General features: G+C 51.9%; 4 annotated features.

Annotated features, from left to right (window-relative positions):
- Positions 1,270-1,814: an enhancer, noted in NCBI's record as "H3K27ac-H3K4me1 hESC enhancer chr14:35816286-35816830 (GRCh37/hg19 assembly coordinates)". NCBI's record gives its function as "activates a minimal SCP1, AML or CMV promoter by ChIP-STARR-seq in naive H9 embryonic stem cells {active_cell/tissue: H9 hESC(naive)}" and the evidence as "EXISTENCE:reporter gene assay evidence [ECO:0000049][PMID:30033119]".
- Positions 6,097-6,953: an enhancer, noted in NCBI's record as "H3K4me1 hESC enhancer chr14:35811147-35812003 (GRCh37/hg19 assembly coordinates)". NCBI's record gives its function as "activates a minimal SCP1, AML or CMV promoter by ChIP-STARR-seq in naive H9 embryonic stem cells {active_cell/tissue: H9 hESC(naive)}" and the evidence as "EXISTENCE:reporter gene assay evidence [ECO:0000049][PMID:30033119]".
- Positions 9,004-9,193: an enhancer, noted in NCBI's record as "active region_8273". NCBI's record gives its function as "activates an Ori minimal core promoter by ATAC-STARR-seq in GM12878 lymphoblastoid cells {active_cell/tissue: GM12878}" and the evidence as "EXISTENCE:reporter gene assay evidence [ECO:0000049][PMID:35858748]".
- Positions 11,824-12,345: an enhancer, noted in NCBI's record as "H3K27ac-H3K4me1 hESC enhancer chr14:35805755-35806276 (GRCh37/hg19 assembly coordinates)". NCBI's record gives its function as "activates a minimal SCP1, AML or CMV promoter by ChIP-STARR-seq in primed H9 embryonic stem cells {active_cell/tissue: H9 hESC(primed)}" and the evidence as "EXISTENCE:reporter gene assay evidence [ECO:0000049][PMID:30033119]".

Raw genomic sequence — 12,615 nt, 5'->3', positions numbered from 1 at the left:
CGAGACCAGCCTGACCAACATGGAGAAACCCTGTCTCTACTAAAAAAAAAATTACAAAATTAGCCAGGCATGGTGGCACATGCCTGTAATCCCAGCTACTTGGGAGGCTGAGGCAGGAGAATCGCTTGAACCCAGGAGGCGGAGGATGCAGTGAGGCGAGATTGCACCATGGCACTCCAGCCTGGGCATCAGGAGCGAAACTCCGTCTAAAAAAAAAGAAAAAAGAAAAATGGCTAAAATGGTAAATTTTATGCTATATACATTTAACCACAATTTTTAAAAACCCACCAAAAACTATTTTGACAGTTGCCTGTGGGGAGAACTGGATGGTTGAGAGAGGGAAAGAGGCTTTTCACTGCATATCCTTTTGTACACATTGAAATATTTTCAAAAAATAAGTAAATGAAATTAAACATACAAGAAGCAGTTGTTGTACCTGAGCGAGTTAGAGAAAACGCCACACTTTGAGACGAATTAAGAGTCCGTTTATTTAGTTGGTGGCCAAGAGACAGCTAACACTCAAAATTCTCTCGGCCTGAAGAAGGGGCTAGATTTTCTTTTATACTTTGGTTTAGAAAAGGGAGGGGGGGTCTAGTTAAAACAATTTTACAGAAATAAAGTAGGCAAGAAGTTAAAAGGATAAATGGTTACAGGAAAGTAAACAGTTCCAGGTGCAGGGGCGTTAAGACCATTACAAGGTGATAGACTTGGGGCTTTGGGCATTATCAATCAGACGAATTCCTGAGAATTGCGGATATTGCTCGCCACAGTATCTTATCAGTTAATTGCATTCTTGGATGTGCTGGGAGTCAGCTTGCACAAGTTAAGTCCTCGAGGAAGGGGCTGCCAGTGAAAAAGCCAAGATGGAGTCTGTCTGGCTCTCTTAGCTAAGGGAGAGTCAATTCAGGTGGAAACAAGGCTGGGTGATTAAAGGAAAGGGAGAGTCTAAAAACAGGATTGGTAAAAATGAGGTTGGGCATTACACAGTAAGCAGGTAAGGCTCAAGGACAAGCTAAGCTTTGCTCAGCCTGCAGCTGAGAGGCAGCATGGGGGAGTGGCTGGCTCATTTACAATGACACTATTTACAAAACCACGAGGGGCGTAGAAGTAGGGATTGTGCAGCAATGCGGGGCGGATGCGAGCAAGAGGAACACTGCGCACCAGCACCTGCACCAGAAACCCGCACCAGAACCCTGTGGGACAGAGGCTGCCTGAGTGGGGCCGTGACCTTCCTTTTAGGTCCAACCCAGCCTGGGCGACCCTGCGGGGAGGACTGCAGGGGAATGAATGCAGACTCCCCACCCCCTCCTCCCTTTGATCTCCCACTAGGCTCTTCACTGGCCATGACCAAAAGGCGGCCAGAGGGCAAGGGTGGCGTCCATGCAGTGCACACAGCAGCTCCTCCAGGGCACAAAGCTGGAGGAGAGGAGGGATGACCTCTGGTCACGCCTGTGGGCTGAGGGGCCAGCCTGCCTGGGTGCACAGCCCAGGTCTACCATTGACTACCTGGGTATCCTTAGGCATCAAGATCTGGAACACCCAGCAATAATCATATTGATCCTAGAGGCTGTTATGAGAATGAAATTTGTTAATTCATGTGAAGTGTTTAGGACAGCGCCCCGCACATGATAAACCCCAGACACATGAATTGTGACTGACTGTGTGAAACCTAAAAGCTTTCTATGGCTTCTGCGGAGGCAGGGCCCATTGGGTCCATTCCGAGAGAGGGGAGGAGGAAGCCAGCAGTGGGTGCTAAGTTCAGGCTGGCACGTGGGAACAACAGTAACACCGAGGCATTGAGAATCTGTAAGTATCAAGACTGTGTGGGATCTGCTGTGTCCATTGTCCTTAAACCCTCATCATGCAAGCAGGCTGGGGGCAGTCGACCCTGTCTAACAGAGGAGGGGACTAAAGCTCAGAGGGGTGAAGCTCCCTGCCCAAGGCCACACAGCCAACAAAGCTGGACTCCAAGCCCCGCACTCTCACTGCTGCACCCCTCCCAGCTGCTAAATGTTCTTTTAGAAACTCAGAGCATGTTGGGCGAGGTGGCTCATGCCTGGAACCCCAGCGCTTTGGGAGGCTAAAGTGGGAGGATTAGCTTGAGGCCACGAGTTTGAGACCAGCCTAGGCAACATAGTGAAACCCTGTGTCTACAAAAATAAAATAAAAACAAGAAACTCAGAGCCCATGAAAGATTTATAAGTTGCAATATAAAAAATTAGAATTGAGGCTGGGCATGGTGGCTCACTCCTGTAATACCAGCACTTTGGGAAGCCAAGGCGGGCAGATCACTTAAGGTCAGGAGTTCGAGACCAGCCTGGCCAACATGGTGAAACCACATCTCTACAAAAATACAAAAATTAGCCAGGCATGGTGGCACGTGCCTGCAATCCCAGCTACTCCAGAGGCTGAGGCATGAGAATCTCTTGAACCCAGGAGGCAGAGGTTGCAGTGAGCCAAATTAAGCCACTGCACTCCAGCCTGAGCGACAGAGCAAGACTCTGTCTCAAAAAATAAAAATTTAATTTAATTTAAAAATTAGAATTGAGACTATCCTCTATTTAGCAGAATTTTCTCCAAGCTTCTTATCAGATATCTTAGCACTTACACAGAGGGTAAATTCTCATTTCAGATTATGTTCTATGGAGAAGAGTCTTTAAGTGTCAAAAATGTCAAATCCATTAACTTTAAAATGCAACTTTAAAGAGGATTGCAGGCAATTTTATAAAAAATTAAAAATAATAAATCTATGTTTAAAAGTAATGCATTTTTCAGAAAAATATCAGTGCCATGGTATTTAGAGTCAGATATGGTTAAGAAAGTGATTAGGCCGGGCGAGGTGGCTCACGCCTATAATCCCAGCACTTTGGGAGGCCAAGGCGGGTGAATCACCTGAGGTCTGGAGTTCAAGATCAGCCTGGCCAACATGGTGAAACCCCATCTCTACTAAAAATACAAAAAATTAGCTGGGCATGGTGGCCGGCGCCTGTAATCCCAGCTACTAGGGAGGCCGAGGCAGGAGAATTGCTTGAACTCGGTGGGCAGAGGTTACAGTGAGCCGAGATCATGCTATTGCACTCCAGCCTGGGTAACAAGAGCAAAACGTCATCTCAAAAAAGAAAAAAAGAAAGAAAGAAAGTGATTCAAGTAGGCCGGGTGCGGTGGCTCACGCCTGTAATCCCAGCACTTTGGGGGGCCAAGGCAGGTGGATTACCTGAGGTCAGGAGTTCGAGACCAGCTGGCCAACATTGCAAAACCCTGTCTCTACTAAAAATACAAAAATTAGCTGTGTGTGGTGGCGGGCTTCTGTAATCCTAGCTACTGGGAAGGCTGAGGCAAGAGAATCGCTTGAACCTGGGAGGAGGAGATTGCAGTGAGACAAGATTGCGCCACTGCACTCCGGCCTGGGCAACAAGAGCAAGACTCCATCTCAAAAACAAACAAACAAACAAACAAAAATGATTCAAGCACAGGAATATATGTACCAAGAATAATGTTTTTCTTTTTTGTTTTTAAATATTGAGATAACAATATAAATACATTTTATTTGTTCTAATGCACATATAATTATTTTAAATAATTTTATTTTTGAAAATAGTTTTTAACTATGTTATTTTATAAGTTCATCAATATAATAAAACTAATATCTTAGAAAATAAATACTTACAAATGTTTTAAGTCCAAGGCCATTGCCTGTGTCAGCATCTATCAAGGGGTATGTGGGTCACCTCCTTGTTCCTTGTCCCTGCAGCTTCACCAAAGGAAAGATGATTTTCATCCCTATCAGCCTCAATCTGTGATAAATACAGATGAATGAGTGGATGGACAAACAAAACATTGAAGGACAAATTGGCCAATGTACAGGGGAGCTGATGACAAGACGGGAAAGACAGTTTGGTTTGGGCTACACAGGAAAGGCTTTTCTTTTTTCTTTTTTCTTTCTTTTTTTTTTTTTTAGACAGGGTCGCCTGCCTTTGTCACCCAGGCTGGAGTGCAGTGGCACATTCACAGCTCACTGCAGGCTGGAACTCCCAAGGCTCAAGTGATCCTCCCACTTCAGCCTCCAGAGTACCTGGGACTACACGTGCATGCCACCGTGCCCGGCTAATTTTTGTGTTTTTAGTAGAGACGAGGTTTCACCATGTTGGCCAGGCTGGTCTTGAACTCCTGGGCTCAAGTGATCCTCCTGCCTCAGACTCCCAAAGTGCTGGGATTACAGGCATGAGTCAACGTGCCCAGCTAAGGAGAGGCTTTGACGTAAGACTGAAGAGTTGAGGTTTTACGTACGAGGCAGCACTGTGCTCACTGGGGCACTGGGGTTTTGAACAAGAGAATGATGTGACACAACTTGAGTTCTAAGGAAGATTTATCTAATGGAGGGGCGAGGAGAAAACTGGTAGGATCTTGTGGGAGCCTGGGTTGGTTGGGGGTTAACCAGTCCCTCTGGCAGTGACAGGAAAGTCTGGCCCCAGGGAGGAAGTTCACGATAGGAAATCTTTTCTTTCTGCATTTCGATGATGCCACCTGCCTCCCGAGGCAATGGGGGTGATGAGTTGAGTCCATTGTAAGGTCAGGACCCGTGTCTCAGGCTGGGCATCGCCCCAGAACCAGAACAGAGGGCAGCACCAAGAGCCCAGCATGCTGCCTCCTCTGGTTCTGTTTCCAGGGGAGATTCTGTACCCCAGAATGGGAGGGATGAGGTCCTTCCTTCCAGTCCCCGAGACTTCTTGCACACGGGCAGACCCTGGCCAGAACATTCTTCAGACATGTGTTTGTAACCCTTAGTGTATTTTCAGGATGCCCAGTGGATAACTTCTCACCACCTGAGACCAGCCCTAGAACAGAACATTCTAGATCAGCACTCCCTTGCTCTCTCCAGTCTTGCCTTGAATGCCAAAGTTCAAGTTGAACTGGAACTCGGGGAGAAGTCAGACAAACCATAAAGGAAGTAGCTGCCCTTCCCATTCATGCACACAGAAAGGCTGGGAGAGAGGAGAGGGGCTGCCGACGGGAAGCTTGATTCTTGACCGCAAGACCAGTGCTGGGCAGATGGGATATTTCTCAGCAGGAAGGCGGGCTGAATGGTCAGCAGCCCCTTCCAGTGTCCCGCGGATGACATACAACACCTGGGAGCCCCATACTGCTCCTTGTTAAAGTCAGACCTCTAAGAAAAACAGAGGGCAAGTCCCTTGCCTACAGCAGCCTCAGTAGTAAGAAGACCCTCTCTAGAATCAAGTGGCTATTTTCAAATGAATCTCCTGAGGACCAAGTGATCCAAGCCTGCTTCTGGCTGATGGGATAGGGCTGGGCCATGGGCTCAAAAACGCATTGGCACTTAATTCATTCAGCAAACGTTTATTTATTTATTATTTTATTTTCTTTATTTATTTTTTTAGACGGAGTCTTGCTCAGTCACCCAGGCTGGAGTGCAGTGGCACAATCTCGGCTCATTGCAACCTCCGCCTCCCGGGTTCACGCCATTCTCCTGCCTCAGCCTCCCGAGTAGCTAGGACTACAGGCGCCCACCACGACGCCCGGCTAATTTTTTTTTTTGTATTTTTAGTAGAGATGGGGTTTCATCATGTTAGCCGGGATGATCTCGATCTCCTGACCTCGTGATCCGCCCGCCTCAGCCTCCCAAAGTGCTGCGATTACAGGAGTGAGCCACTGCGCCCGGCCTTATTTATTTTTTACTTTATTTTACTTTATTATTTTGAGGCAGAGTCTCGCTGTGTCGCCCAGGCTGGAGTGCAGTGGCGTGATCTTGGCTCACTGCAACCTCCGCCGCCTTCTGGGTTCAAGCAATTCTTCTGCCTCAGCCTCCTGAGTAGCTGAGATTATAGGCGCCCACCACCATGCCCAGCTAATGTTTTGTATTTTTAGTAGAGACAGGGTTTCGGCATGTTGGCCAGGCTGGTCTTGAACTTCTAGGCTCAAGAGATCCTCCTGTCTTAGCCCCCTACAGTGATGGAATTACAGGCATGAGCTACCACACCTGGCCCAACAAATGTTTATTGAGCACCTACTATGTGCCGTGCCCTGTGCTGGGTGGGGGAAAATGATGTGAACAAAACAAAACAACGTGCTGCTGAGGTTAAGATGCTCACAGGGCCAAGACTTTCAAAGGTCACATTCCCCAGTGGACCAGAACTCTCAGGCTGGAAGTAGGGGGAGGTTGTGAGGGCCAGAGGAGAAACAGGATGATGGTGGCTCCTCCTACCTCAGGGGTTTGAAAATCTGGCCCGGGCAGTTTCTGGCACCCTGGCTGTGCAAGCTGAGAGCCTGGCTGGAACCAAGATAGACGCGTGACTGTCCACAGCTGCCCCAACAGTGAGACGGGTCTGCTCCTGTTCTCTTCCATACAGTGCTGAAGTCACAAGCTATGAGCTAGTGTTCCCTCGGTAGCCCAGGGTCCTTGGGGGACGTATGAGGAGATGATGTGCACTGGAGGCCTGTGGAGTCACTGCTGGGGAATGACAGGCTGCACACTTGGGCCTCCGAGGCACCTCTGGCTGGGCTCGCCTTTCAGAGTTTCAGCCGAGCCTGGAATCACTCCAGGGACAAAGGAGACACATCTGCCAACGTCTGCCCAACTCTCCTTGGCCACGGGAGCCCAGGACCAGCCATAAGTGGGCAGGAGCCAGGGGCCGTGTGGCGAATGGGGCTGCGGCGGAGGCCTTGGGACGTGCATGGGTCAGCAGAGGCCCTTGAAGTCCTGGGCGGGCAGGTTCCTCAAAAGCAAAATCACTTGAAACACATTATGAGGGACAGCGGAGGCCCTGTGGCCAGCCCCCGAGCACAAGAGGCTCCTGCAACAGAAACCGCTGGCCAGCAAGGCAGCTGCTGGCTGGTGACGCCCAGAGACGGCCGAGGGCAAGGAGCTGAAGGGCCGAGGACGAGGGGGGTGCCCCTGGGGACCCCGCCCCGAGCTCAGGCCGCTCCATCTGGGCTCTAATCCCTTCTTTTGTTTTCAGCTCATGCTTCTCCCCCAGTGAAGGGAGGCTGGGAGGTTCTGTTGTTGCCCTAGGAGCTGCCAACAGCAGTAGAAGGCAGGGCCTTGGCAGGCAGCCTTGCCTCTGTGGGAGCAGGCGGGGCTGATTACTCTAAGCTGCCAGCCACCACTGGTACCTCCCAGCCCGCTGGCCTTGCCTCCTGTGTGGTGAACTCTGTGGGAGGGGACAGAGGGGCGGAGTGGGAGGAGGAGACCCAGCCGGGCCTTGAAGAGGAGCCAGGAGCTAAGAACTTGACCTAGAATCCCAGGATGAAGGACAAGTCCAGCCCCCTCCAGGATTCAGGGTCTCACCAAGGGGAATGAGGGGCCCAAGGTTCACCCAGCTGGGTTCTGATGGAGCCAGGCAGAGACGGGATGCGCTGGGGAGGCCCTGGAGAAGGAGCCTGGTGGAGCATGTACTGTGTGTCTTTCCTTTTTCCTACAAATCTTAGGGACTTTCCTGGGGTCAGGGCTGCTGTGTACAGCATGCAGGTGTGGGCTGAGGCGTGGGGGTCGGGCTGTGTCCATCTGGACAATGAGTTGCCTTTTTCCAAATCATGCCAAGGCCCTGTGCAGGTCAGTACCTGGTTTTGCCAGGCCAGCCTCAGGGGGCAGCTCATCAGAAACCAGCCCTGTGCACTGGGGAGGCTTTGGGCCTGGGGTGCCCTTTCTCAGAGAAGGGGTCACAGGGATGAAGGCTCATCCCAGAGGGGACTGGCAGGTCTGCAGGGTGCCCTGAGCCACTGGCTGGGAAAACCCAGGCGTCCTTCCCTCCCCAGGCTGTTTGCCTCCACACCCTTCCCTGCCTGAGGACTCACTTCTATCACTGAGGCAGGGTCACCTCAGGAACCAATCACGTTTCATCCTGAGTGGAATGAGTCTACGGAAGTCAAGGCCATAAGTCAGTGTGGCACCTGCATTTGACCTGAAAAAATACAGACTGTGAGGGCAAATGACCTGTCAAATGAGTACGTTGGAGCAGGACCAATTATTGAATTTCATACCTGCCCTAACATAATTCACATGGATTTTAGATTTCCAGAAAGGAATCTCCAAGCCCTTTTCATGGCCGCCGCGGTGGCTCACGCCTGTATTCCCAGCACCTGGGGAGGCCGAGGCAGGTGAATCACTTGAGGTCAGGAGTTTGAGACCATCCTGGCCAACATGGTGAAATCCCGTCTTTACTAAAAATGCAAAAATTAGCCAGGCGTGATGGTGGGTGCCTGTAATCCCAGCTACTCAGGAGGCTGAGGTAGGAGAATAGCTTGAACCCGGGAGGTGGAGCTTGCAATGAGCTGAGATCGCCCACTGCACTCCAGCCTGGGCAACAGAACCAGACTCCATTTCAAAAAAAAAAAAAAATTCTCTGTCAGGGTGGCAGGAAGGATTCCTGGAAATATGAAGGAACTGAGGCTGGTTTTGAAGATAAATCCAAATATGCAGGCTGGGGAGGCCCACCTGGCACAGAGGTGCTGAGGAGGGGCTGATCTGGGAACCAGAAGGAAGTGGGTGACTGCGATGAGGTACAGTGGGCACCCGAGGGGAGAGGCCTGAGTCTGTGCCGAGGAGTAGACCCAGGGCCTGTACCCGGGTGGTGGTGGGAGGCAGCCGGACAGCACAAGGGGCAAATGCCAGCCTTCTGTGGCACCTCCTCCCCACCGCCTCTGCAGCTGCTTCTGGGGCTTCCTTAGGGTCTTCCTATGCTGTCAACCTGGCCAGAGTCCCACAGAGCAAGGTCCTGCTGAGGTTTTGGCGGGGGGGGCAGGCTCTGAGAGGGACCCCTGGAAGGAGGCTGCTGCTCCTCAGACCTAGAGGTTTGTTCTTCTGCAGAGATCCACCGGATACTGAGAAATGCAGCTGCTGCAGAATTTCTAGCCATAAACACAGAAATGTGGTGGGGAAGGAGCTGTTTAGGGAAGAGGAAGTAGACACGTTGCACAGAGCTGCCACTAGCCTCGGCTGGTCAGGCCATGCAGGGCGATGGTTCTCAAACTCAGGCTATGACCCAGGCGATGCTGTGATGCAGGTGCCTGGTGGGCTGAGAGCCCTGGAAGCTGGTGCAGAACCACTGGGAAGGCTGGGAGCTGGTGGCCCACTGTGGGGCATGGCAGCTCCAGAGACCCCATATCTGTTCCTCTGGTGAGTATCGGCCTCCTCCTTCCCCACCACAAAACCTCAAAAGGGGTCTTCCCCTGTATCCCACCTGCTCTCCCTGTGCTCCCACAGCTGAAGCAAAGGCAGTGCTAGAGGCTTGAGGGCCCTCTTCCCCAAATCAGCAATCATATTCTTTCCACCAGGAAAATACCCTAAACAGAGCAGACATGAGGATCGCTTTGGGTCGGTCTGGGTCTCCAAGGCTGAAATGCATTTCACCTGTGCCTAAGTCCTTGGCCTCTAAGCAGTTATAGCTTATGGCGATGCAGTCAGTGGACAAAGATGAATATTCCAGAAGAAACCCTTAAAACCAACCAGGCAACAGAGAGAGCTTATAGCTGCTAAGAACCTGGAGGCAGTAAGGCACACGTTCTTTGCCCATCCCACAGCTATTAATATTAGGCTGCAGATGCCAAGGAAGGGGTGCGCACCTGGTTGCTGAGGAAGGGCAGCATGAAATGCAGGGCCCAAGGAGGAGCTCAGGCAGGTCAAGGACATTGCCCTCAACAAGACACCCTCTCCAGGGTCAGAGGCCGACCGAGCAGAGGCACAAGGTGCTTGTTAGCGGGTAGACAGGCTCATCGTGCAAGCTTGCAGGGCTCAATTAAGGGTCTTAGTCACCCGCAGCCTTCTGTCTCCTAGGTCCTGAACTGCAGCCCGGGGATGGGGTGGAGGTGCCCTATCTGTGGGGCCGTCCCAAGGCCCTCGCTGAGGGGCTGGGTACAATGAGGCCTGTGTCGGGACTTGCCGAACTGCACCTGCGCTGTAGCTCGGTATCCTTTGTGGGAGGCAGGGGTTTACCCTTGATAATCCCCTCCCCCGCCCAGCCCAATCCTAGCTCTGGCCTGTGGCCTTGCATCCCATGAAAGTTTCTATGGGACAAGGTTAGAAGGGGCTGCGCTGCCTGGTGGGAGACAGGTCCACAGGCCCAGCCCCAGAGCCCTAAACCCTCCCTGTAAGACCCACATAGCCAACCACAGTGAATAAATTAGTTGGATAATGCCATCCACCAGGAGGCAAATACTACTTTTATTTATTTACTGTTTTTTTATTTTTATTTTTTATTTTTTTGAGACAGTCTTATTCTGTCGCCCAGGCTGGAGTGCAGTGGCACGATCTCAGCTCACTGCAACCTCTGCCTCCCGGGTTCACGCCATTCTCCTGCCTCAGCCTCCTGAGTAGCTGGGATTACAGGTGCGAGCCACCACGCCCGGCTAATTTTTGCATTTTTAGCAGAGACAAGGTTTTGCCATATTGGCCAGGCTGGTCTCAAACTCCTGACCTCAGGTGATCCACCTGCCTCAGCCTCCCAAAGTGCTGGGATTACAGGCATGAGCCACTGCACCTGGCCCACATACTACTTTTAAATCATAAGGCAATGTTACTTTGATTTGCTTCTTATTAGGCCATAACCTTTGTTTGGTCTATGTCCTTTCTGAGGCCTCAAGGGGACTTCTGAGCCCCCCTTTTATGGGTGCAAAGAAGCTCTGAAACTTGGAGTTTGGATTTGGGTGAGAATGTGGGTCAACTGTGCTGGATTTCACAAAGCGAAGGCTGTGTATGACACAAGAAGCCCTGTGCAACAGGGCAAGACTCCATGGTCATTGAACTGCACACAGACCTGGTTTTGAATCACCACCTACCATTGGTGTGACCTCGGGCAAGTCACCAATATCTCTGAGTCTCAGAATCCCATCTGTTGGGCAAGAAAACATCCACCTCATAGGATTGCTATTGAGAGTCAAGGAGGTAGTGTTCAAGCACCTCCGAGGGCCTGGTACCTGGTAGCAGCTTGGTGTGTGCCCCTCCCACCTCTCCTTCATTAGGAGCAGGAGCCCTGGAATTCCATTCCTCTCCTGAGTAGTCACGGCCTGACCTCAGGAGGCAGCAGCAGCAAGAAAGGAAGGGAGGCAAGAGCAAGTGATGTTCTCCCCAGACCCTCAGCCCAGGGACACGAGGGCTGTGCTGGGCTGAGAGGGTTTTGCATCAGGCTGGTCTGTTCCCTCCCTAGCCCACTTGCGTTCTCCTCTGGAGATGGCCTGGGGGGACCCAACTGCAGAGCATTCAGGTGGGGCCCTGGCACTAGCCACAGGGGTGGGGGTGCTGCATTTAGCCTTTCTCTGGCCACAAGCTCCTTGTTCAAGGGTCTCAGGCCACCTTGACTGTGGGTCTCTGTGGGGCCTGGCCTGCAGAAGGCCACACGGCACCTGTGCATCCCTGCATTGGTCACCACCTAGGACTGTGGCACGCAGAAGTGTTATCCATGGGCCTTCACTTTCTGCTCCAGACACGGCAGGGAGTTGAAGTTCGAGAAACAGATAAACAAATGCCAAACATGAGCATAAACTTTAATATATTCAGACTGTTTTAGATATTAAATAGAAAAAAGACCTTGGTGCCTTTGAGGGTCCTGTGTGGCCTTTCCCTAGGTGGAGCTGGTTCCCTTAGAGGTAAAACCAGGAACTTTCTCTTGCAGCTTATGAGAGGGTGACGAGGGTGCGGCTTATCCTTTGTCCTCATGGCTGGAAAAGGGACCCTGACGGGCACAGGGCCTGCCTCGCCCTCCCTCCTCAGGTCTTGGGGAGACAGAGACTGCAGGTTGCCTGGGCGGCCCCAGGAACAGATTTGCATTATTTTGTGGCAACAAGCAAATTTCCTGGAGGGGATTTCTGGAAGAACTGGGAGCCACCCAGCGGGAAAGCTTTAGGAAACAGGAGAGCAGGAGGCCGGGAGGAGACAGGCCTGGGCAGAGGCGGAGGCTGCTTGGCCTGAGGCTCTGGGCCAAGGGATGGTTGAGGCCTCGAACCCCTCCTCCACCCTTCCTCACAGCAGGCAGGAAGCCAGGCCCTGAGCAGGCTCAGGCGCTGCCTCCGCGCCCTCGCTGACCTGCAGGAAACTCGCCCAACCCAGGCCTATGTCAGCAGCAGGACGATGACCTAAGAAGCCAGGCTGCAGAGCAAGATGGAAAATTCCCAACGCTCCTGCACCTAAGGCTGCACCCGGGGGGGCAATATTATGCTCCTCTGGCCCTGACTGCATGGGGGAGGGCTGCCCCCGTTCTGGGCTGGCGGCTCAGTCAGGGGCTGGGACAAGAGCAAACCAAACAGCTTCAAGGGGAGGGAAACGGAGCCCCAGCCCTTGACCTTCCACTTGGTTCGTGCGTTGCTGGACCCGGCGTAACTGCGGCTGTGTGGGTGTGTGTGTTGGGCAGGGATGGGGTGGCGATTACAAAACAGAGGACGGCAGGCGTACTTTCTGCATAGAAAGAACACTCAACAGCCCTCCAACACAGGCTGAGAATCTGAAAAAGTCAGGCCATGTCGGCTTAAAGAAATCAAGCTGCATATCCACCAGCATATCAAGATTTTAAATTTAAGAACTATGGGTCAGGTAGAGTGGTTCATGCCTGTAATCCCAGCATTTTGGGAGGCCGAGGTGGGTGGATCACCTGAGGTCAGGAATTCAAGACC

This window comes from Homo sapiens, chromosome 14 (genome assembly GCF_000001405.40).
Source record: "Homo sapiens chromosome 14, GRCh38.p14 Primary Assembly".
NCBI classification, from domain to species: domain Eukaryota; kingdom Metazoa; phylum Chordata; class Mammalia; order Primates; family Hominidae; genus Homo; species Homo sapiens.
The sequence above is the reverse complement of the archived record's forward strand: the minus strand, read 5'-3'. Positions and strand labels throughout refer to the sequence as shown.